The sequence below is a fragment of the Homo sapiens genome, chromosome 1, assembly GCF_000001405.40.
Source record: "Homo sapiens chromosome 1, GRCh38.p14 Primary Assembly".
Lineage (NCBI taxonomy): Eukaryota > Metazoa > Chordata > Mammalia > Primates > Hominidae > Homo > Homo sapiens.
In genome coordinates this window covers 178624461-178649454 of record NC_000001.11, presented here as the reverse complement: position 1 = coordinate 178649454, position 24994 = coordinate 178624461, and the positions used below count along the sequence as shown (strand labels likewise).

The 24994-nt window shown below is 43.0% G+C and overlaps 1 annotated feature.

The window, feature by feature from the left end:
- Nucleotides 16067-16361: a silencer, noted in NCBI's record as "tiled region #1317; HepG2 Repressive non-DNase unmatched - State 23:Low". NCBI's record gives its function as "represses a minimal TATA promoter and a strong SV40 promoter by Sharpr-MPRA in HepG2 cells {active_cell/tissue: HepG2}" and the evidence as "EXISTENCE:reporter gene assay evidence [ECO:0000049][PMID:27701403]".

The window sequence follows — 24994 nt, the reverse complement described above, 5'->3', positions numbered from 1 at the left end:
AAATTTGTGGTTGGAGGACATGGATAGAAGTGCGTTCTAACAGCAATTGGGTTGGGTACTATTCATGGTTTCAGGCAACTACTGGGGGTCTTGGAACACATTTCCCACAGATAAGGAGGGACTACTGTATACACACAGAGATATATATACACATACATGTATATACTCATACAAATATGTAAATAGATATATACATATATATTTCCTAGTTCTATGTGCTGTGAGGGCTGGAGGGAAAAATACCTAGTAGCAATGAGCATCCCTAGCTTGCAGGGTGTGGCTTCTAAATATTATTCTCCATTTAAAGGAACCAGGGTTCCTTAGAGAAATGGTTGATTCTAGGGCTGAAGTACATAAAATAAAAGATGAAACAGGGACATCTTGTACTACAAAGTAAGGAAATGTCCAAAGCATGGTAGGGACATATCAAAAGGTCACAAGATCTGCCTTAAAAGAGCTCCCAATGGGCTGGGCATGGTGCCTCACGCCTGTAATCCCAGCACTTTGGGAGGCTGAGGCAGGCGGATCACGAGGTCAGGAGTTCGAGACCAGCCTGGCCAATATGGTAAAACCCCATCTCTACTAAAAAATACAAAAATTAGCTAGGCATGGTGGCACACACCTGTAGTTCCAGCTACTTGGGAGGCTGAGGCAGAAGAATTGCTTGAACCTGGGAGGCAGAGGTTGCAGTGAGCTGAGATTGCGCCACTGCACTCCAGCCTGGGCGACAGAGTGAGACTCTGTTTCAAAAAAAAAAAAAAAAAAAAAGAGCTCCCGATGGTCAGGTCTGGGCAATTTGAGTATCTGAATAAGTGATAGTTACTGATTTTTAACCCTTTGAATAAAATAGGAATCTATGAATCTACATTGCTAAAAAATAAATGCATAAATGGAGACGAAAGGAAAGCTCTATCTGATAATAGAAGCCTTAAGGTATCTCCTCATAAAATACTTAGGGATGACTCAGTGGAGATACCCGTGAGACATCATCTTTACCAAAACCAGCGATAGGACAATTCGGCATCGTATGCCTCCTGATAGATGCACTGAGAAGAGTAAGGCATTGCTTCTGCGGTGTTCTTGCTACAAACGCATAAATCACGAGGAAACATCAGACACACCCACATTGCGGGACATTCTACAAAGTACGTACTTTAAAAAAATGTCAAGGTCGTGAAAGAGAAAGAAAAGCTGAGCAATTGTTCCAAAATGAAGGAGATTAAAGAAAAATTGTAACTATAAAAGGCCTGTATCTGTACAAGATATTCTTGCAACCATAGGGGAAATTTGAATGCGGTCTGTGAATTATGCGGTAAAGTTGGATCAATGTTAATGTTCTGGTTTGTTCATTGTCAACGTTAATTGATGGTTTGAATGTGTAAGAAAATGTCCTTGTTTACAGGAAATACACACTGAAAGATTAAAGGGTAAGGGGGCATCATGTCTGTAACTTTTTCTCAAGTGGTCCAGGAAAAAACGAAAACAAGTTTAATGTGTGTGTGTGTGTTTACTAGAAAGAATAAGGCAGATGTGATTCAATGGTCATAATTGGTAATCTGGGTGAGTGTCAGTGCTTGGAGTACTTGGAGCTCCAAGTACTATTTTTACAATTTTTCTATAACTTTTAAATTTCAAAAAAAAATAGGCTGGGCACGGTAGCTCACACCTGTAATCTCAGCACTTTGGGAGGCCAAGGTGGCTGAATCACCTGAGGTCGGGAGTTCGAGACCAGCCTGGCCAACATGGTGAAACCTCGTCTCTACTAAAAATACCACAATTAGCTGGGCTTGCTGGTGGGCACCTGTAACGCCAGCTACACGGGAGGCTGAAGCAGGAGAATTGCTTGAATATGGGAGGCAGAGGTTGCAGTGAGCTGAGATAGCGCCATTGCACTCCAGCCTGGGTGACAAGAGTGAAACTCCGTCTCAATGAATAAATAAATACATAAATAAAAAATAAATAAAAACAGAAAAAACTATCTACTATGGATCTCTATGTACACTGACCACAGTGAATCAAACTGAGCAGTTCAATTCAAATCAAGTCCAGTGTTTATGAAATAACAATTAAGTTGAAGGTACTATGCTGCTTTACAAGACTCAATCCCTGCCCTCGGGTTACTCACAAAGAGGGTGGTGAGAGCACAGTGAAATAGGGTAGGGTGGGAAATGGGATGGGAGTGCTAGAGAAATGACACCAATAGTAAAACTGCTGCAGACATTCAAAGGAGCCAGAAACCTTCCCGGAGGAGGTGGTGCTTGCAGAGGTCCTGGATGGGATTTGGGCAAGATTGGTGGTTCTTTTCAGCAGAGAATCACAGGATTTAGGCATTTCTGAGACTTCTGTCTCTGTTTTCTTCTCCATCAGCAAGCAGGCTGCTCTGTTTCTCACCTCCACGCTCTTGCTCCTACTGCTGCTTCTGCCTGGAATGTGGGCAGTTTGTGAGCTTGGAGGATCCATTGCATCCATTCTTCAAGACTTAGCTCATGTCTTTTGCTCTGGATTTTCTGACTGGCTCACTCCCCTCCAGAAAGAAAAGTCCTTTTCTCCCTTGTACCTCTACTATTCTTAGAGCATGTATCGCTCCACACGTGGCTCTTTATGGCACTTGTCAGCTCATCCGTGCATCCCTCCCAGCCTGCAGTCTCCTTGTCGGCTTTGTATGTATCCATCTCCAGTGTCTGGCCATAGTGGAGGCTCAATAATTGTTAAAAATAATCAAATTAACCTAAGACTTCCCCAAACTGTATTTCTTCCCTTTCTTTCCATTTTTACTCCTAGGCTAACTAAAGGTTTCCTTCCTTCCTTCCTTCTTTCTCTCCGTCTCTCTTTCCTTCCTTCCTTCCTTCCTTCCTCCCTTCCCTCCCTCCCTCTGTCCCTCTTTCTTTCTTTCTTTCTTTTTCTTTCTTCTTTCTTTTTTTTTTGACATGAAGTCTTGCTCTGTTGCCCAGACTGGCGTACAATGGCATGATCTGGGCTCACTGCAAACTCCGCCTCCCAGGTTCAAGCGATTCTCCTGTCTCAGCCTCCCAAGTAGCTGCGACTACAGGCGCCCACCATCATGCCCGGCTAATTTTTGTATTTTTAGTAGAGACCAGGTTTTGCTGTGTTGGCCAGTTTGGTCTTGAACTCCTGGCCCCAGGTGATCTGCCAGCCTCAGCCTCCCAAAGTGCTGGGATTACAGGCATAAGCCACGGCGCCCAGCCTCTAAAGGTTTTCTTTATTCAATAAAATTGAATGAAGTACATGGACTTTTAAATTTCCAGCAGTGTGAATCTAAATTTAGGGAAGAATATTTTCTTCTCTACCCTGAGACCATCAGTGAAGGTAGAGGGAGAGATGGACTAGCATGTCCAGCATGTTAGTAATAGCAACAAGATCTGCCACATCAGTGTCTTACATTCTTGGTTTATTAAGGATCCAGTGACTAACCCACATAGAAATATGCGAGCTACTCTTTGGAGTTACAGTAGGGGAGACACCATAATGACCACAGCTGAGCATAATATTTCCCAAACAAAATTATGTTAACCACTGGTGCTTGGGAGCTTCTTACATCAAAGCAGGATATTTATATAAGGCCAACCAACCTCCTATCCACATAATATTATTATTATAGTAATAATTATCGATTGTCAACATTCCTATAAGCACCCTTCATCCAGGCACTCTAAGCACTCAACAAATGTCACAAACTCTGTGTGCATAGATGCCACCTGACCCGTCTGTGGAATGAGGCAGCATGTGGGGGCAGAAACAGCTGCTACCCCTGAGCCTTGCCCTATTATTGAGGCTCCAGTTACAAAGCCAAATGCCTCCTCCCCTTCCTTCTCCATGGTAATTGCAGTCTGAGGCTTGAAAGAACATCTTTTGTGAGTCAATTTATTTTCCATCTCTTAATATACACCATGTATGAGATTGCTGTCTGCTTAGGAGCAGTAAGCCATCAATCTGATGAAGAATGCTGAGGGATTTCTAAGTCGAAAAGTTTCTCCTTGCTGTAGCTAACAAGTAAGTGATAAAGCTTTCCTTTGTCTTCTGTCTTCAGCAAATTTTAAACATTTGTTCCTGCCGAGTGTTGCTTTACCCTTGAGAGAGCGCCTCCTCACCCCATAGGCAAGGTGGCAGCTGTTGGAAGAGTTTTCAACACCAGATTATTTTAAGGCATTTGTAAAGAGGGTGAAAACTAACTCTAGCGAAAAAAAGAAAAACCCTTAAAATAAACTTTTAGAAATAAATCAGAATAACATTCAAGCCCTGCAGCACAGCTGGCTCCTCCAAAACCTAGAATTTTACTTGTTATGCAGAAGCATTTGCAAAATTCCATCCTGAAAACCATGTTATGGGCCATTCTTAAAAAAGTATAATACCAATCATTTTCATATGCTATTCAGCAGAGTGACATCTGACCAATAGCAGGACAGCAAAAAGACTACTGTAATTACAGTTCCTGGTTTCAGCAACTTCACTCTGAGATGATAAAACAAAAAAGCTCATTGGCGTATGTTGCATAATTTCTAAGTGTGTACTTAGTAGTAAATATCAGCTTGATTCCACAGTTTGTTGACATGGCCTTAAGGCAAATTTTAAAACAAAACAGTTTTCATTTCTACACATAATAGAGTACAGCATATTTCTCTGTCTTATACTACCATTCACTGGCACTGTGTCACATGATTGAGCAAAAGTAAATGAAGATGCTTACAACTATCACTGCTATATGTGCAGAGTCATTCACCATCAGTCCAGCCTCATGAAGCCCATAAGAAGAGGGTAGTGCTTCTTACCCTCCATTGACAGATGAAGGCCCACAGATGATGCATGGCAGCCAGTCCTGCAGCAGGATTCTCATAGTCCTAAATTTAGCCCATCAAGTCATGACATCTCTCCCGGTTGGGGATTATGGCTTTAAAAATGATTGTTCATGCAGCAAATCGTTATGATAAACAATCTAATAATTCATGATGAAGGAACTAGAAATTCAGGCTAGCAACAAGTGTGTGACAGCTTGAATTTTCACCAGCTGTATTCCTTGGCCTCTGGCCAGGATGCCATCTGACCTTTAAGCTAACCAAGCACGTGGGTATTGCTTATCAGCACTCAGAACCAAAAAATTGCTGTGGTATTTTAGAGATAGAGAATTCTATTAGAGAGGGAAAAGGGTGAAGAAAATAAAGAGGACACATGTTTTGAAATGGACTTATTTCTTCTTAGAAAAGGCTCTGAGGGTGAAAAGCATCAATACTATTAATCGCATATTTGTTGAGTACTTAATTATGAGTCTATCCCTGTATATAGATTCTGTGGAGAGTCAGAAAAGGTTAAGATATAGTTTTTAAGCCCAAAGATGTTCTATGTAGTTGTGGAGAATATGAACACGGAAGATGCAGTCTGAACGGCTGGCAAACTTTGGCCTATGGTTCAAATCCAGCTGGCCACCTGTTTTTGTTGCAGATCATGGGCTAAGAATAGTTTATTTTTAAATGGTTGGAAAAAATAAAAAGAAGAACACATTTTATGACATGTGAAAATTACATGAAATTCAAATTTCAATGTCCGTAAATAAGATTTTATTGGCGCACAGCCACATTCACTGATTTAGTGATTGTCTGTGGCCGCTTTCATGCTACAGTGGGCAGCAGAGTGGAATAACTGTGACAGAGATGATATGGGCCACAAAACCTAAAATATTTACAATCGATTCCTTTACAGCAAAAGTTTGCTGACCCTTGAGTTAGGTAATACTCTAATGGTGCTAAGGGGGGTGATTTCGAGCCAGTTGAAGAACCAGAGGACGACCACAAAGGAAGAAATGACTTTGAGTGAGAATAAAGCTTCAAGGCGGAAGTGCATCCAAATGGAGCTTAAAGGATAAAGACATTGAGCATCATGGTGAGGGGTGAAGGGCAGCCAGTTACGGCCTGGCAGCTTGACTCCACTGCTGAGTGCAATGTGACCTCAGTAAGTTCTTTGACTTTTCTGTATCTTAGTTTCCTCAGCTGTTGAGTGAAAATAATAATATCTACCTCCCAGGGCTGTTGTAAAGCTCACAACCAGATTTCATATGCAAAGCAGTTAGCACATTGCCTGGTATGGAGCTGGTGTATCATAAATATTAGCTGTCAATAATAGTGACTGCAATTAGTTCTCACACTTGGGTGTCTATTAATAAAAACAAGTCTACATTTCACATAAACAGTAAGCCTCTTAGGGGTTATTAGTGAATAAGCTTTTAAAATATTTCTCATAAGATGAATTTGAGCCACTGAATTCTATGAAGTTATTTAAAATGGTGTCATAAAAGAAGAATAGCACAGGAAAATATTCCCAGGGTATTCTGTGAAAAGAAAAACAAAACCATGTTATGAATAATCCCCTCAATCTAAGATATTATAGTTAGAGTGAGAACAACAACAACAAAAGCATACCCCCTGCCTGATAGGCATTGTTTTACAGCACACCACAGCATACTGTCTTATTGTGGACACTTCAATTTTATAAGCCCAGAAATACTATTTTGCCAGTGTATCCAGACTTGAAACCCTCTATGAGAATCTGTTGAAAGCTATTTCCCCCTCTCCTTGATGAATGCACACTGCAAAGGCACACACACACTTTTGCAAGTAATCTTAGGGCTTAATGGATCCCTTGAAGCCCGCCCCTGGTTTCCAGGTTAAGAAATCCTGCTCCAGTTGCTCAGTCATACTTACAAAACCCACACGATATTGATATATGAACCAGAATGCCAAATAACTAATTTATGAAGAAGAAATAATGTCAAATGGACTAAAATCCTTGCATTGGCCGATCAGCTCATTATCTTGCTATGCAAAAGCTACACAGATCGCCAAAGCACAATTAAAAGTAAGGATGGAATCATAGAGAAGGGAATTCAAGAATGGTCTTAATGGCTCTTGTCGCCAAGCTATGATAATTGATGCATCTGTCTCTGCTGTCGAGGTAACTCTTGCCAAGGATGCTGGAACAGCCAGTCCAGACTCTTTCCTGTGAACAATTCTTGATGTTTGTACTCTGTGCTTGCAGATGCAGGGAAGGCTAACTCCTTCTGTTATCACTCTTGCCAAAGAAAGTTACAGTGGAAACAGCAAGACCCCGGGTTTAGACATGCTAATTTCCTCATGCTACACCTAGGCTCTTCCATTAGGAAATGTCAGCCATATACACATTCCAGTTTAAGGCGGGCTAGTTGTGTTGATCTTTCATAATTTCCTTCTCAGAAGGGATCTTTATTTTCAACTTTAGGAGGCACCTTACTGTCCCCCACCTCTTCACTTCCTCTAGTTCATCCTGACTGCTGTGCCTACACCCTATTAACCTCAACAGAAAAGGCATCAGGTTCAAGAGGCCAAAGAAGAGACACAGAGCCAGAAATGAGATACGTGGAGGTTTTACTAGGGGGTGACATACAAGGGAGAGAGTCCAGTGGTGGACAAGATAACCCCCGGGCCCAGTAGGGGCAGGCCAGGCAGAAGAACCACAACCGCTTGCAAAAGGCATGCAATTTAGGTAGTGTTTTCACTCAGCACCCTTTCCCTAACAATCTCCACCTGGCAACCTTCATTCAACCCAAACTTGGGGCCTCCTTCTCCTGTACAACCTGTGTTTCACGGGCCAGAACGATGGTTGGGACAGAGGCAGGCAGGGCTCAGATGCTCCTCACAGACAACAAATGAATCCTCAAGTTGGCCACACCTGTATTCTCCAGCGCAGAATACAAATTGGATGCATCTGCCATACGGGGTCATTCTAAGGGTGTGCTTAAGTTATTGCTTTCAGGTGTCTTTACCCTACACGGACCACAAAAGGAAGAAAAGAATCCCTGGTGTTTCCTCCCTTCTCCCCTTCTTTCTATCCTCCCCTTCCCTCCTTTTATTTTAAGGCATTTCAAATACCTTTTATTTTGAAATAGTGTAAGACATAAGTTTTTATTTTGTTTTGTTTTGTTGTTTGTTTGTTTTTTGAGATGGAGTTTTGCTCTTGTTGCCCAGGATGGAATGCAGTGGCGCAATCTCGGCTCACTGCAACCTCCGCCTCCTGGGGTTCAAGCTATTCTCCTGCCTCAGCATCCTGAGTAGCTGGGATTACAGGTGCCTGCCACCATGCCTGGCTAATTTTTGTATTTTTAGTAGAGACAGGGTTTCACCATGCTGGCCAGGCTGGTCTTGAACTCCTGACCTCAGGTGATCCACCCACCTTGGCCTCCCAAAGTACTGGGATTACAGGTGTGAGCCACAGCCCCCAACCAAGACATAAATTTTAGCCGGACGCAGTGGCTCATGTCTGTAATCCCAGCGCTTTGGGAGGCCGAGGTGGGCGGATCACGAGGTCAGGAGATCGAGACCATCCTGGCTAACACAGCAAAACCCCGTCTCTACTAAAAATACAAAAAATTAGCGGGTGTGGTGGCGGGCGCCTGTAGTCCCGGCTACTCGGGAGGCTGGGGCTGGAGAATGGCGTGAACCTGGGAGGCGGAGCTTGCACTGAGCCGAGATTGCGCAGCTGCACTCCAGCCTGGGCGACAGAGCAAGACTGTCTTAGAAAAAAAAAAAAAAAAAAGACATAAATTTTAAACGTAGTAGTTTTCTTCCTTTCTCTCTTTCAAATGACTTTTATTTTAAAGAAGTTCAAGATTTACAAGAAGTCTCAAAAATAGTATAGAAGGTTCTCATGTACACTTCACCCAGCTTCCCCCAGTGAAAATAATTCACATAACATAGTGCAGGTTCAAAACCACATTACAGTGGTATGATATTCACTCAGGTACAGACGATACAGATTTTACTAGTTTTCACATTCACTGTGTGTGTGTGTGGGGGCATTCTATGATATTTTAGCACATGTGTAGAATGAGAAACCAACTCCACAATCAAGACATGAAACTTCCTCATGTTATTCCTGAATAACCAGTGATTTTCTTTATATACTCTATTCTCAGTGTTATAATAGAAATCTTAGTTCAGCCAACTTATACGAATAAACTCAGGGACAATAGTTGTGACATCATCAACCTCCTTCTCTGGTAAACATATTTAATATTACCAAGGCCTCGATGGCAGTTTTTAGACTCTAATTATCTTAGGCTTTATTTCTGAATCTCAGTATTTTTTGTCACTTGGCAAGAAATTTTAAATGTATATTCTTGCTATTGTGTAAAAACAGTCTAGAAAGCTTTTCGAAAAGGTTAGGATTTCTGACCACAGTTTCTTTAACTATGGAGGCATAATTAAAAAAAAACATTCTAAGGTAAATTTGTGCGACGTGTTGGTGTATACCTTCTTTAACCCTACACTTGTTTTGCTTCTTCCCTAAACTTGTTTCCTCTGGCCTCTGAGGTTTTCTATGTACATGTCCTCTGTACTAACTTTTCATCTTAATGAGTTTCATGTGGACACATTTGGGACCAATATACTCTTACGGAAAATACCACCTGAGGTTGCACTCTTGTGAAATCTATTTTTGAGGAGTTCAGTTTCCCGGCAAATCTTCTGAGCTGTATACTGTTGTTTGCCTCAGAGTTTACACAAATACCTTTGCATGACCATTCCCTGAGATAGTTAAAAATCAAATGGTTGTTGGAGTCAACTTGATGAGCTAAGTGTTTTAAATAAATAGATAATGACACATGTGTATATTGAGTATACATGTCATAAATGACTACTCAAGGTAACTGTAGAGAATAAAAGTGACATTCAACTCAGGAAAACATAGCTGAAACATTCTCAGTGACCTCATTGAATCTTAGAGTAAAAAAACTGGAAGTGGATCAAAGATTAAAGGATACTTGTCTTATGTCTTAGGGAGGAGAAGTAACCCACAATTGCTGGTGGGAATGTAAAATGATAAAGCCACTTTGGAAAGCAGTTTGGCAGTTTACAGTTGAAAGTTAAATATGAAATGATCTGGCAATTCCACTCCCAAATTTCCTAAGAGAAATGAAAACATATGACCACACAGAGACTAACATGAGAATGTTCATAGCAGTGTTATTCATAATCACCAGAAGCTGGAAACAGCCTAAATGTCCATCAGCTGGTAAATCAGTACATAAAATATGCTATACTCATATGATGGAATACTACTCAGAAATGGAAAAGGAATAAACTACTGGCACATGCTATGTTATGGATGAACCTCAAAAACATTACACCCAGTAAAATAAGTTAGACACAAGAGACCACATATTGTATGATTCCATTTGCATGAAATATCTGGAAAAGGCACATTTATAAGACAGGCAGTGATAGTGATTGCCTGGGGCTAGGGATGGGAATAGGGATGAGGGCATATGGGATCTTACAGGGAAGATGAAAATGTTCTAAGACTGGTTTAAAGAGATGGCTGTGCCATTTGGTAAAGTAAAAATAAATGAACTGTACAATTGAAATGGAAAGCATACTTTGATAATGCTGTTTTAAAAAAGAAAGTGATGCACATCTTTCTGGAATCAGCAAGCTCTCTAAGGGCCCTTAGAAACCCTGCACATGATAAGGGATTTTTCAGATCTCATCCAATCACTCTCTGGGTGTCAGCTATCTTCACAGTCTTTCTCTCTTTAGAAGGTGTTCTTCCCTTCTAGTTTCTGGCTTGGGGCTAGAAAAGGTTTATAGTCCTGGCTGGTACTTGAGAGAAAGGACCAGCACTTTTGTTTCCTATTCTACCTTCTGCATCTTGGAATGGGAAGGGCCAATTATGCAGGCTCCTGGTGGAAAATCTTCCTGGTAGCAAGACAAGCTTATTTTTAAGTCCATCGTGGGGTAAACCTGGCCTGAGGAATGGGAAAGGGCTGAGTGGAGGCTTGAGGAGTGAGTGCTCTGGAGACCTAAAGGAAGGAAGGGGCTGGTTTGGGGCCTACAAGATTCCCTTTGGGAGGAGCCGAGGGGGTGCTGTGGGCACCCAGACCTAGGGAGAAATCTCACACTGTGATGAGAATCTGCCCATCTTACCCAGGGACTTTTGCTACTGCCAATGGTCCTGTCTCATCCAGGACATGCTCAAGACAACAAGGCCAGAGGAAGCCAGGTTGATGAGGAGGGGGCAAGCACAGCAGTGTAGACCAGGAGAGGAGCCCAGAAAGCAGAGATCCAGTCACGATGCCCAGCAGTGTCCAGAAGAGGATAGCTGGACTAGGAATGTATATTGTGCGAACATGGGCCTGTTTATATATTCATATATATCACTTAGAAGCTCTGTGTTCTTGAGCAAATCACTTACCTTCTCTGTATCAGTTATCTATGACTGTGTCTATTTCATAGTATACATATGCTACATTATTACTATCCTAAAACTTAGTGACTTACAACAATAGTTCTATAGTTGCTGACTATAGTTCTTCTACTGTCCTTTTCTAAGTGGCTGCACACTCAGGAAAAGGGGAGGGGGCTGAGATGTTGAGCCAGCTGGGCTTCTCTCACCATGTGCTTCTTTTCAGTCATCAGTTTGGTCTGGTTTTTTTTTTTTTTTTTGTGTGTGTGACAGAGTCTCTCTCTTTTGCCCAGGCTGGAGTGCAGTAGTGAGACCTCGGCTCACTGCAACCTCCACCTCCTGGGTTCAAGCAATTCTCCTGCCTCAGCCTCCTGAGTAGCTGGGATTATAGGTGCCCACCACCAGGCCTGGCTAATTTTTTGTAATTTAAGTAGAGATGGGGGTTTCACCATGTTGGCCAGGCTGGTCTTGAACTCCTGTCCTTAAGTGATCTGCCCACCTCGGCCTCCCAAAGTGCTGGGATTACAGGCGTGAGCCACCGTGCCTGGCCCTGGTCCAGGATTCTTAAATGGTGTCTAGCTTCCAAAAGGAAGAATTTATCAAGCCACCGCTTAAGTCATGTTTGCTGATGTGCCATTGGCCAAAGCAAATCACCTGGGTAACCCAGGAATCAATGTAGGAGGGGGCTGCAGGAGGATGTGAATTCTGCGAGCCCTGATTCATTTGGGGACTATCAGCATAATAGTCTATCACACTTCTCAAGGCTCAGCTTCTTCATCTGTAAAATGGGGATATAACAGTAGTTTATTAGGCTTCTTATGGAGAATAAATGAGGTAATGTAAGTAAACCATCTATCATAATGTCTGAACTTTAGTATTGATGACTGCCTTTTCATTATCATTAACACTGGTATTATGTGACTACTGTATTTTCTCCTCAGTGTTTATCAGAGGCAGATGTGAGAGTGAAAACCAGAGGGCCTGATCTAATCTAGGAAGTCTGGAAAGACTTTTAGAGCAAATGGTATTTGAACTGAGATCTGATCGATACATTAAAAGTTTCAGCACTTTGGGAGGCCGAGGTGGGAGGATCACGAGGTCAGGAGATCGAGACCATCCTGGCTAACACGGTGAAACCCAGTCTCCACTAAAAATACAAAAAATTAGCCAGGCGTGGTGGCAGGCGCCTGTGGTCCCAGCTACTTGGGAGGCTGAGGCAGGAGAATGGCGTGAACTCGGGAGGCGGAGCTTACAGTGAGCCGAGATCGTGCCACTGCACTCCAGCCTGGGCTACAGAGTGAGACTACGTCTCAAAAAAAAAAAAAAGATAAAGAAAAAGAAAAAAATGTTTCCTAGGCTAGAGGGATCAGCGGGGAAGAGCATTCCAGGTAAGGGAAAAGTGTGTGCAAGGGCCCTGTGGTTGGGGGGAGTATGTGGCAACTGCCAGTCATGAAAACAGATGATTATATTAAATACAATGCTAGCACTGCAAACCTAGAGCTATTCCCAGGGTATTATGAGCAGTCCCACATTTAACATTTGCAGGGCCCAGGGCAAGAGTATAAAGAGAAGCCCATGGACTATATGTCTAAGTATTTAAAAGTTATAAACCAAGCTAACAAACTATCAATGAAATATGTCCTCTCCTCCTACCTTGTCAGATAATCAGATATACCCCTAGCTCAGCTCCTTGGGGCTTCCCCATCTCCAGCTCCATCCTGTTCCACAGAGTCAGGTGCATGTGGACTCCTGGGACCGCAGATCCAAGCTCTCTGGCAGCAAATGGTTTTTACCTGGTCCCTCTTCAGTCCCCCCGGGGTGTGTTCACCAGCTGCATGGTCCACTTTTAGGATGGACCTATGGAAGAGGGCTCTGGGCTGTTTAAGGAGAGTATTCTGGGGTGTTGGGTACCTAGAATATGGTCCAAAAGGGAAGGCATGGGCTCTGGGAGGGCACTATTTGTCCTGTAAGGAGGGAACAGTCAAAAAGAGGGTCAGAGGGAGGCCCCCTAAAAACACAGGACCCAAAGCAGAACAATACTGTTTATTGGTTATGCGAACCCAGGGAAAATAACTGACCAGTGAAGGGAAACCAGGGTGAAGAAACGATTCCTGGAGGTAGAAATGTTTGAACCCAATATATTCCTGCAGAGGAAGCATCTGTCACAAAATGGAAGTACATGACATAATAAATCTAATGTTCCTTGAAATCAAATATGAAATGTTACAACCAGGTTGCAGATGTTTTAGCTTTGGTTAAGAAGGTATTTCTCTTTTAACCACTTCATTTGGCAAGATTACCATGTTCTGATAGACTGCAGTTTCTGTTGAGACGTCGCTCTACCAGGCTCAAATATGGCTTAGTAGAGAGCAGTTAGAGGTTCATGTACTCATTTCCAAGTTACCAGGTGGATAAGAAAGAATTTTTATTTTTTTTTTTGAGACAAGGTCTCACTCTGTCACCCAGGCCAGAATGCAGAGGCATGATCACAGCTCACTGCAGCCTCCATCTCCTGGGCTCAAGTGAGCCTCCCACCTCAGCCTCCCAAGTAGTTGGGACTACAGGTGAGTGTCACCATGTCCAGCTAATTTTTAAATTTTTTGTAGAGATGGGGTCTCCCTATGTTGCACAGGCTGGTCTCCAACTCCTGGGCTCAAGCAATCCTCCCGCCTCAGCCTCCCCAGTCTGCACCACCATGCCTGGATAAATTTTTTTTTTTTTTAGTAGAGAAAAGATCTCACTTCATTGCTCAGGCTGTGAAAGATATTCTTAACTCAAGGGCCACACTATGAAAACTTTTTTTTGAGGTAGAGTCTTGCTCTGTTGCCCAGGTTTGAGTGCAGTGGTGCAATCTCTGCTCACTGCAACTTCTGCCTCCCGGGCTCCAGTGATTCTCCTGCCTCAGCCTCCTGAGTAGCTGGGATTACAGGCATGAGCCACCATGCCCAGCTAATTTTTGTATTTTTAGTAGAGACAGGATTTCACCATGTTGGCCAGGCTGGTCTTGAACTCCTAACCTCAAATGATCCACTTGCCTTGGCCTCCCAAAGTGCTGGGATTACAGGTGTCAGCCACCGCGCCCAGCTGAAAACTTTAATGGCTCATACAACTAGGTCTAATGCAGTCCTTGGTGTGGAATACCCACTGGCTAAGGGTGGCTTGGGAGAGAAGACGGTTAAGAAAATACAGATTGGAATGCAGAAATGGCAGCATTGGTACCTTTGTTTTCCTTCAAATTCTGACTGCTGTCAGTGAGGCAGTCATTCATTGTCCCTCCTTTCCTCCCCTATGTCAAGATAGCAGTCCTTTATATTTAAGGACTACAACACTTGACAGATGGAAGGATTTGTTCTCGTGTGTATTTATTTATTTTACTGTGAAAATGCTAATTGTGCATTTGTTTGTGAAGTCCAAGGGAAGAGAGGGAAATGTAAGCTATGGTGGGAAGATTAAACATGCTAAAGAGAGCCAGGAAACCCTGTATTTTTAAATATATCTATCTTGGTCATTTGGCCCAGGGGGAAATAGCAATGTCAGGAATGAACTACTAATTACCAGCAACATCCCAGAAGAGAGACTGGGAGAGTCCATGATGGGAGGGGCGTGGGGCAAAGGCATGTAACCCTTGAGCTGAGAAGTCTCCTCAGCAGCTTAGCCCAAGAGCCCTCGCAAGAAAAGGGCAGCTTCCCAGGGAATTTCCTCCTAATTCCTCTTGCCCCATCCAAGTCCCATCAAGAAGGGGACAATATAAAGATAGATGAGGCCAAACATCTGGAATAGAGAAAGGAAAGAGGAAAAAAAATAAACCCCAGAGCTTGGCAGTTTGGAAGACTGGGGGACTGTGGGTGGGGAGGGGAAGTAGAGGGGAAAGCCATACATAGATATTCAATTTTGGGAGAATTTCTTGGTATCATTACTGCATTATCAATAGTGAATTTTTACTGAGTGCTTACTATGTTTCCAGCAGTGTGAAAGCTTACAAGTCTTGCCTCTATGGGGAACATACAAAACACCCTATGAAGAAAGTCCTATTATTAGCCCATTTTACTGGTGAAAACAAAGAGGCTTAAAGATGGTAGGTTCAGGGTAATAGGGAAGATAATGGGTTCATTCTAGGACACGGTGACTTTCAAGGGACATCAGTTCTAAGAGGGAATCCTGGCTGGGTGCAACGACTCATGCCTGTAATCTCAACACTTTGGGAGGCTGAGGTGGGAGGAATGCTTGAGGCCAGGAGTTCAAGACCATCCTGGGCAACATAGCCAGACGCCCATTTCTACGAAAATTTTCTAAAAAAATCACCAGGGTATGGTGGCTTGTGCCTATAGTCCCTGCTTCTCAGGAGGCTGAGGTGGGAGGATCTCTTGAGCCTAGGAGTTTGAGGCTGCAGTGAGCTATGACTGCGCCACTGCACTCCAACCTGGGCGACAGAGTGTGACCCTGCCTCTCAATAAATAAATAAATAAGTAAACAAACAAACAAACATAAAAGTAGATCTCCAGGATGGTAACAAATTAGAAATTGAAGTTGGAGGATGATGGCGGAGGGGTTACAGTCAGGGAAAGGAAGGACATAATGCCTACAGATTTATACTAAATAGCCTTTTGCATTTCTCGAGTTTTGAATCATATGGGTGTATTGTTTAATAAATAAAAATGTAAAAAAAAAAATCAGAAATTAAAGTTAAGGAATGGTCAGGACTAAAAAAGTAGATTTGGGAGTCAGGTGGTGTTGAAGATAAGGGAGTAGGTGTGAGTGGGAACCTCTAGGAAGCAGGACACAGGGGCAATCCAGTCACCAAGATGGGAGAGATTTTGTTTGTTTTTGTTTTTAATCAGCCAATCAGAAGCAAGCTTAATACTCTGTTGGGCCACAGCTTAGACTCTTAACAGACAAGAGTGACTGAGTTTGTAGAATGACTTAGAAGGCACTAGGAGAGATTCTCGCCACCTGAGTAATCCAGGAAACATTTATCCTGCAGAGAAGTCTGAGGTAAACCTTTCTATAGCTAGTAATAGAAACATGCCAGAGTGATTCACAGCCTTATTCCTCCTAGAAGCAACTGGCTCAAGCATTTTAGTAAGAAGCCGAGGCAGACAAGCCACTGCGTGGAACGTAATTATGCATCACTTGGTTTCTTCAATGTTTCCTGAGCTAAGTAGGGTTATTAAATGTTCTACGTTTAATCTGTACCTATTGCAAGCAGAGGTTGAGTCTGAATGCCCAGGAGAACTGTTTCTCCAAAGTTCCAGCACTCCCAACTTCCTGGCCAGCCCTTCGTCAGCACCAAATAAATGATGAATGACTTGGGGGAGGGATATCCTTTTTGGGAATGGGTTGTCCTCAGCAGGAGAGACAAATGAGAACCGCAGAACATTAAGGCTAAAGAGGACCTTAGTAATCAACTAGGGCAGTGGTTCTCAAATATGAGCATGCATCAGGATCTTTTGAAGGGCCTGCTAAAACATGGGCTCTATTCCCAGTATCTGATTCAGGTCTGGGGTGGGGCATGTACATTTGCATTTCTAACAACTTCCCAGATGACGCTGTTTTAGAAGTACCACGCTTTGAAGACCACTGAGCCAGTGCAAATGAAAAAACTGAGGCCCAGAGAGTTTAAATAACTTGTCCTAGATGCCCCAGCTAATAAAGTTGGAACTAGAATTTCAATTTCCCTCATCCGTAAATACTTCAGTGTGTATTTCCTAAAAGCAAGAACACTCTCTTTCATAACCATAGTACAGGTATAATATCAGGAAATTAACATTAAAACAATACTGTTAACTAATCTACAGACCTTATTCAAATTTTGTCAATTATCCCACTAATGTCCTTTATCTGTCCCAAGATCCAATTCAGATTCAAACAGATGTAGTTGTCATGTCTCTTCAGTTTCCTTTCATCTGGAATAACTCCTTTGTCTTTCTTTGTCTTTTAGGACCTTGACACTTTTAAAGAGTATAGGTCAGTTATTTTGAAGAACGGCCCTAGATTTGGGTTTGTTGGAGTTTTCTTGTGGTTAAATTCAAGTTCTGCGACTTTAGCACAGACACAGCACAGTACAGCCATGGTGCAGTGTCCTTCTCAGGGCATGATATCAGGAGGCACATGAGGTTGCTAGAATCCTACTGTAAGTAAGTTTTCCGTTTGCCCCTATTCATTCATTCATTCATTCATTCATTTGTATTAGTATGGGCTCCTGGGTTCTATTTTATTTTATTTTATTTTATTCTATTTTATTTTTTGGACACAGTCTCGCTCTGTTTCCTAGGCTGGAGTGCAGTTGTGTGATCTTGGTTCACTGCAACCTCTGCCTCCTGGGTTCAAGTAATTCTCATGCCTCAGCCTCCTAAGTAGCTGGGACTACAGGCGCATGCCACCCATGCTCACTTAAGTTTTTGTATTTTAGTAGAGACAGGGCTTCACCATGTTGCTCAGGCTGGTCTCCAACTCCTGAGCTCAGGCAATCGGCCCGTCTTAGCCTACCAAAGTGCTAGGATTACAAGTGTAAGCCTCTGTGCCCAGCCCTGGATTCTTTTTTTAAAAAATTCTAGAATCCATATCTCTTGCTACCCAAGTCAGTTCTCTTTTCACTATATGACCCTGGGGCTAATACCATTATTTCAGAGATGATTTATTAATTTATCACATTAATTCAAAATTGACATATTTCAAAATGTGTTGTACATTATATCATGTGTATATTTATAGTTTTCATTTGTTGATTAAAATAATTAGTTTTAAAAATGGATTAAAATACTATAACAGAACTATCTAATAGAAATACCATGCAAGTTGTAAATTAGAGCCACATATATAGTCTTTTTTTTTTTTTTTTTTTTTTTTGAGACAGAGTTTTGCTCTTGTTGCCCAGGCTGGAGTGCAGAGGAATGATCTTGGCTCACTGCAACCTCCACCTCCCGGGTTCAAGCGATTCTCCTGTCTCAGTCTCCAGAGCAGCTGGGACTATAGGCGTGTATCACCAGGCCCAGCTAATTTTTGTATTTTTGGTAGAGATGGGGTTTCACCATATGGGCCAGGCTGGTCTCAAACTCTTGGGCTCAAGTGATCTTCCCGCCTTGGCCTCCCAAAGTGCTGGGATTACAGGTGTGAACCACCGTGCCTGTCCCACATGTGTAGTCTTACAATTTCTTCAGCCCATAAACTTTATGATGGTTCTCCTCTTGCCAGTGCAGTTTCCAAGCTAGAGCCAAGGAATCCCAGAAGTCTTAAGGGGTACCAGAGCAATTGCTCTGGGTCATATTTTCTGGGGTTATAATAACAATCTCTGAAAATCTGCCTTAAAGCCATCGTGTTCATCATCTTAATTCTCTTTAGGCCTGTGTGTGCTGAGTCTAACCATGCTCACGCTGTGGTGCTTAAGCTAAGGGAGGACCCCACCTCAAGGTCAGATAATGGGAGAAGGGGCCAGCAGAGTTGGCCATGACCAAACCTTGATTTCTATGAAGGAAAAAAAAAACTGCCTTAGCTGACAAACTCTCTCTGTGATTGTCCTTTCCCTCCATTGTCCCTGGGATACAGGAAGAGGGACACTTGACTTGCATTGGTGTTTGGTTGTATGAGTCCAAAGGAGAATACCAGCTCACAAGTAAATATTTGCCATTTTGACTACTAATTACATTATATGATGAAAAAAGCCCAAACATTTACCATATTCTTGATTTCATCATCATGCCATTGTGCAAGAAAAATAAATCAGCTATTTAGCAGGAGCAAGATGTGACTTTTAAAAAAAAGAAAACCCAAACACAGTTTGCTTTTTAGAAACATACATTGGTGACTCAGAATCATAAAGAAATGAAAATGTCATTGGGTTTCCATACACCTCTCTATCCTCTAAGATGCATTCTGAGGGAACTTCCTCTCAGGATTTAGCCACTTATGACCAATATTAGAATTAACTGGGAATAAGACACCAAATCAAACAGTTTGAAATACCTAATGAAGTGTTTCTGACATTAGCATGATGCTGTCCCCCAATGGGGTATTTGGCAGAATATTTTATTTCTTTTCTGGTTGTCACAATCAGTAAGGTGGAATGCTAAGGGCATTTAATGGACAGGGGCCACTACGTGAAATGTCCTGCCAGGGATGGGAGAGTTCTGCAGAGCATGACTTGCTGTGCCTAAAAAGCCAACAACATCCTGTACAGACACAACCAAAGGGTTCCCCAGGAATTTAGAATTGGACTAAGATTCCAATCCAGTATAGGTGCTCTCTTGAACTGGAGAGTTGTATCTCCAGGAGATGTTAGGAACTATTGGCCGTGGCCATTATTTAGTTTGGGGGTTGGAAAGAGAACCAATCTGCAGTGAGAGATGACTGATAAGATAAGTAAAAAGAGATAGGGAAAAGTGACCATATGAGACTCTTGCCCACATTCTCATTCAAGTCCCTGGCTCTTCTTGTGCCTGAGGCCCATCTGCAATCCTGCTGTTGGTTTCTGTGACACCTTGTTGCTTGCAAACAAGAGTTCTAACTTTGGAGAGACAAATTTCTGCACTGCCATCTTCTGCCACATGGACTGAGCAACAGAAAGAGCCAGTCTGCAGAGGGAAAAAGAAAAGCTGAGAGAAGAGAGGCAGCACTGGGTGCTGCCCACAGGCCTTAAGGTCTGGTCAGTTTCTGAGGCCCAGTCCCTCCGGACCAATCAAACACGGCCTGAGAGGTCAGTCCTAAGAAGCAGGTCTTCCCAGAAACTGCACTGTGACTTGATGGGGAGGCGGGGGGCAGTTTCAGAAGAGGAGGAGATGCTGGGCAGCAAATTTCAGAAGAATTCACTGCATCTCCAGTTAGGAATTTGGCCCACACTGAGATGGGAGTTTGGCCCAGACTAATCCCTGGAAGGGATTACTGTGAGATCACTCACTGAGGTCAGGGGATGAAGCCGTTTTAGCATAGGCCTGACTGCCAGGGGGTTGCATCTGTGAATTAGAGGTCAGTTAAGGAAATATCTGTGAGCTGAAAGTAAGAAAGTCACTTTCTTTAAAAGAAAAACAAAAAACCAAACCCTTCACATTCAAGAAAAAATGTGACTTGACATATTAGCTTTGCTTTCTTCATTAGCTTTTATCCACTTGTGCAGTGTACTCAAGTTTGTGTTGAATATAGCAGGTTTCATTTCCATTACTATTGTAACTTGATGAGATAAAGCCGAAAGTGGTTTAGTGGTGTGTTTCTGTGGGCTAGTGCTTAATTGCATGGCTATAGCTTCTTTAACTGCAAAGGAAGATTAGAGAGGGAAAATATAATTCCAAGAAATTTTGGTTTTGCTAGTCAGCATATCATTTAACAATGACAAGGGCATGGCTTCAGAATAGGTTTCCATTTTCACCTGCCATTTACAGGCAGTGAGCCTGGACAGGTGAAGGAAGTGTGGTGGATGACATCATATTCTGGTCATAGACACTGGCATGGCTTGGGCTGTAGTAGCTGAGTTTTTCCTTGCAAGGCCTCTGTCCCACTCTTGCTTTACTTGGATTTCAAAGAGGATGCTGGGTTTTCCACAGTTGATGACTAGCACCTTCATCACTGATGGTGCCCTTGGTACTTCTCCACCCGTCATTCCCTTAACAGAGTTCTTTCATCTCTACATCTTCAGAATTTTCTGACTTAAAACATGAATTATTTAAAAAAAATCTCAATTTCAGGAATGAAAGTATTTCTTAAAGCAAAAATTAGGCCTGGTGCGGTGGCTCATGCCTGTAATCCCAGCTCTTTGGGAGGCCAAGGTGGGCAGATTGCCTGAGGTCAGGAGTTAGAGACCAGGCTGACCAATATGGTGAAACCTCGTCTCTACTAAAAATACAAAAATTGGCCAGGTGTGGTGGCAGGCGCCTGTAGTCCCAGCTACTCGGGAGGCTGAGTCAGGAGACTTGCTTGAACTGGGGAGGCAGAGGTTGCAGTGAGCCAAGATCGTGCCACTGCACTCCAGCCTGGGCGACAGAGTGAGACTCTGTCTCCAGAAAAAAAAAAAAAATTAAAACTTGTGAAATACTCATCTGATTAACCCCCTACAGCTTGCTAAAGGCAGCTGTTCCCCATGTTAAAATGTCTCCAACAACAGAATGTCATCAATTCAGTCATCCTTGTTCTTTCTTTTTTCTTTCCAGTTGTCCTTGTCCTTTTTTTTTTTTTTTTTTTTTAGATAGAGTCTGGCACTGTTGTCCAGGCTGGAGTGCAGTGGTGCGATCTCGGCTCATTGCAACCTCTATTTCCCAGTTTCAAGTGATTCTCATGCTTCAGCCTCCCAAGTAACTGGCATTACAGGCATGCGCCACCATGCCCAGGTAATTTTTTTTTTTTGTATTTTTAGTAGAGACGGGGTTTTGCCATATTGTCCAGGCTACTCTTGAACTCCTGCCCTCAAGTGATCCGCTTACCTCAGCCTCCCAAAGTGCTGGGATTACAGGTGTGAGCCACCATGCCCAGCCATCCTTGTTATTCAACCCTACCACACTTTAAAATCTCTGACAGGGAGTAAGTAGTTACCTGACACATGGTAGGCAATCAGTAACTATTAGTTTAATTGAATTGAAGCAAAGCCTGAGTTCTAATCCTATCTGTGTCATTAGCTATGAGAGTGAGCTGGGCCTTCTCTTTTGCATTTGTTATAGGAGAAGACTGAAGGACTATCTTATCTCTAGGGTCTCTTGTAACTCTAAAATCTATGAGGAGTAAGATGTTTTGTAGCGCAGTTAGTTTTCAGAGCCATTTCTCAAGGTCTATGTCTAACTTTTAAGAATTAATTGCACTACCGATCCCATGCCTGCCCCTGGTTCACTCATTACATGCAACAGCAGTCTTCTCTCTGACCCTTGTATAGACCAAGTTCTCCTGCTAAGGCAGGAGCTAAGGCTCTCGCTGTTTCCCCTGTCTGGGCTGCTATCCTCTTTGCACTTTGCAAAGTTGGTTGCTTTTCATCACTGGAGCCATAGCTGAAATGTCAGCTTTTTAGAAGCCTTATCTAGAGTGAGCATCTCCCCCAGCCTGACGCTCCCCATGACCTCATCCTATTTATTTCTCTATGGTGCTTATTACAATATACAACTATCTTCTATGTTTGCTGGCTCATTACTACCCTCCACCTCCAGACTACAAGTTCCACAAAAGCAGGGAATTGTCTATATTCTTTTTCACTACATCTTCAGAATCAGACTTTGGGAACCCACAGAATGTCTTTTCTGAAATAGAAAAGTCTGCTTCTTCCTCTGAGAATACCCAGCCCCTTGCTGGACATTGGTTTGGTGAGCAGACATTGCCTGGATTTCAGCCCCTCCTTGCCCCTTGACCAGGTACCCTTGTTCAGTGAACAACCTATACAACTGTGTACCCTTTCCCTGCCCAACACCACACAAGGTGCCTGGCAGAATATAGAAACATAATATTAGTTGGATGAATAAATCAGCTTTATTGAGGTGTAATTTATAATACCTACAATGAAATGCACCATTTTAGCTGTTCGGTTCAATAAATTTTGACAAATGCATGCACCCAGGTAACCACTGCTATAATCAAGATATAGAAATTCTGTTAACACCAAAACCTCCCCTGTGCCCTTTTGCAGTTGTCTTTCCTCCCACACTCCCCGCCCCTGGCTTCAAGCAATCATGGAATCATTTAATTCTAGTTATATCTCACCTCTTCCCAAAAGAACTTTAAAATGGCCTTAAAAGGGAATACATATATCAAAATCAATACAAGAGAGGGAAAATGAGGAGAAAGAAAGATGAAGAGGAGAAAGGCAGACATCCCAACCCATAGGGTCGATAGAGCTTCTGTGACTGAGCTTGAGGGCTGGGGCTTGGCTGTAGCCTCCTTAAAACCAACATAAAGAGGGAAAAGTGGTGCTTAAATGACCGACTGAGAGGAAGAAGCATTTCATTTCTCAGGGGAGATAAAGTTTCCCTAGTACAAAGATCTGAGCTATTCCTCACATAGATGATCAGATAGAAGTTTCTGGAAGATGCTCTGCACTGTGTCCTGGATGACCATTTCATAGCAAATGCAGCAGGAATATTCATTTGTCTGTTTTTTCTGCACAATCGTCTATAAACATTTCTATAGCAAATATTAAAGTTTCTGCCCTAAAAAAGATGATCTCAACTGGGCTTTTCAAAGAAGTGGGAGAGTAAACAGTTCAAAATTATCTTCTCTAACAAGGGTCTGGAACTTGGGAATTACTCCCTTATGGGCAGAGGCATTTGCTTTGAAACCCAGGTGAGCATGTGGGAGGGTTAATGTTCAGTTATGAAACTTAAAAGGGCCTGGACAGGATCCCTGTCTAGATCAAAGGCCTCCCCATCCTGCCTGGAGGTTGGCTGTCAGGGTGGGGGAGCTGTCTGAGGAAAAGCCAGGATTATCTTTAGGATTCAGTTTTGGAGCTGGGCCAACAAGCCAGGGCTCCGTTGAGATGCCAAATTTCCATATAGTAGAACATTAAAAGTAACACTTTTAAAATGAAAGTGGGTAAGTGTTGACAGCTTTCTACTTCAGCCATAGAAATTTCTTTGTAATGTCCTTGGAGGACTTAGTTCTCTCTCTCTTTCTTTTTTTTTTTCTTTTTCTTTCTTTTTTTTTCGAGACCGAGTCTAGCTCTTTCGCCCAGGCTGGAGTGCAATGGCATGATCTTGGCTCACTGCAACCTTTGCCTCCTGGGTTCAAGCGATTTTCCTGCCTCAGCCTCCCAAGTAGCTGGGATTACAGGTGCCCGCCATCACGCCCACCTATTTTTTGTATTTTTAGTAGAGATGGGGTTTCACTGTGTTGGTCAGGTTGGTCTCGAACTCCTGACCTCGTGATCTGCCTGCCTAGGCCTCCCAAAGTGCTGCCTGGGATTACAAGCGTGAACCACCATGCCTGGCCGGAAGATTTAGTTCTAAGCTCTGTCTCCTTGCCCGTTGATGGGTTAGAGAGGTCCTGGAACTAATGGCCCCTACCCTATTGGATTCTGAGTCCACGGAGAAATAAGACAACGTGGTAAGGCAGATGGGAACAAAGTACATCTGATGTTGGGAAATGTGGCTTGTGTCTGTGGGCAAGTGAGTTTCCTGGGTCTGAGCCCCAGAATTAACCTTTCCTACCTTGTCATCGGCAATGCCTCGGCAGCACAGGCTTCTGTAAGAAGTAGGACAAGAATGAACTGAGAACATGTGGTCCCTGGTGGAAACATGCTCCCAAGGGGGTGGGGAGAGAACGAGAGAGACAGAAAGAAGTGAGGGCTGGGCAACCCTGTCATTTCACCTTCCAAACCCCCTAAACCTACCGCTCAGGCAAAGCACTTCCCTTCCCCTGGACTACCAGAACAATTCATTCCCTGTGTGTCTTGTAGGATGAAATAGACACAAAAAACCATTGGAGGGATTAAAGTTATGTCATGAACATGTTTGATAATGTTGGTGGCTGCCTGCCCTAAACAGTAATTTTTGTGTAACGTCTTTGGTTGTTGAGGTTAAACTTTTCTTTTTGAAAATGGATAAATGCCAACACTATTTTCTTTTCTTTTCTTTTCTTTTTTTTTTTGGAGATGGAGTCTCACTGTGTCGCCCAGGCTGGAGTGCAGTGGCGTGATCTCGGCTCACTGCAACCTCCGCCCCTCCAGGTTTAAGCAATTCTCTGCCTCAGCCTCCAGAGTAGCTAGGATTACAGGCGCGTGCCACCACGCCCGGCTAATTTTTTGTATTTTTAGTAGAGACGGGGTTTCACCATCTTGGCCAGGCTGGTCTTGAACTCCTGACCTCGTGATCCACCT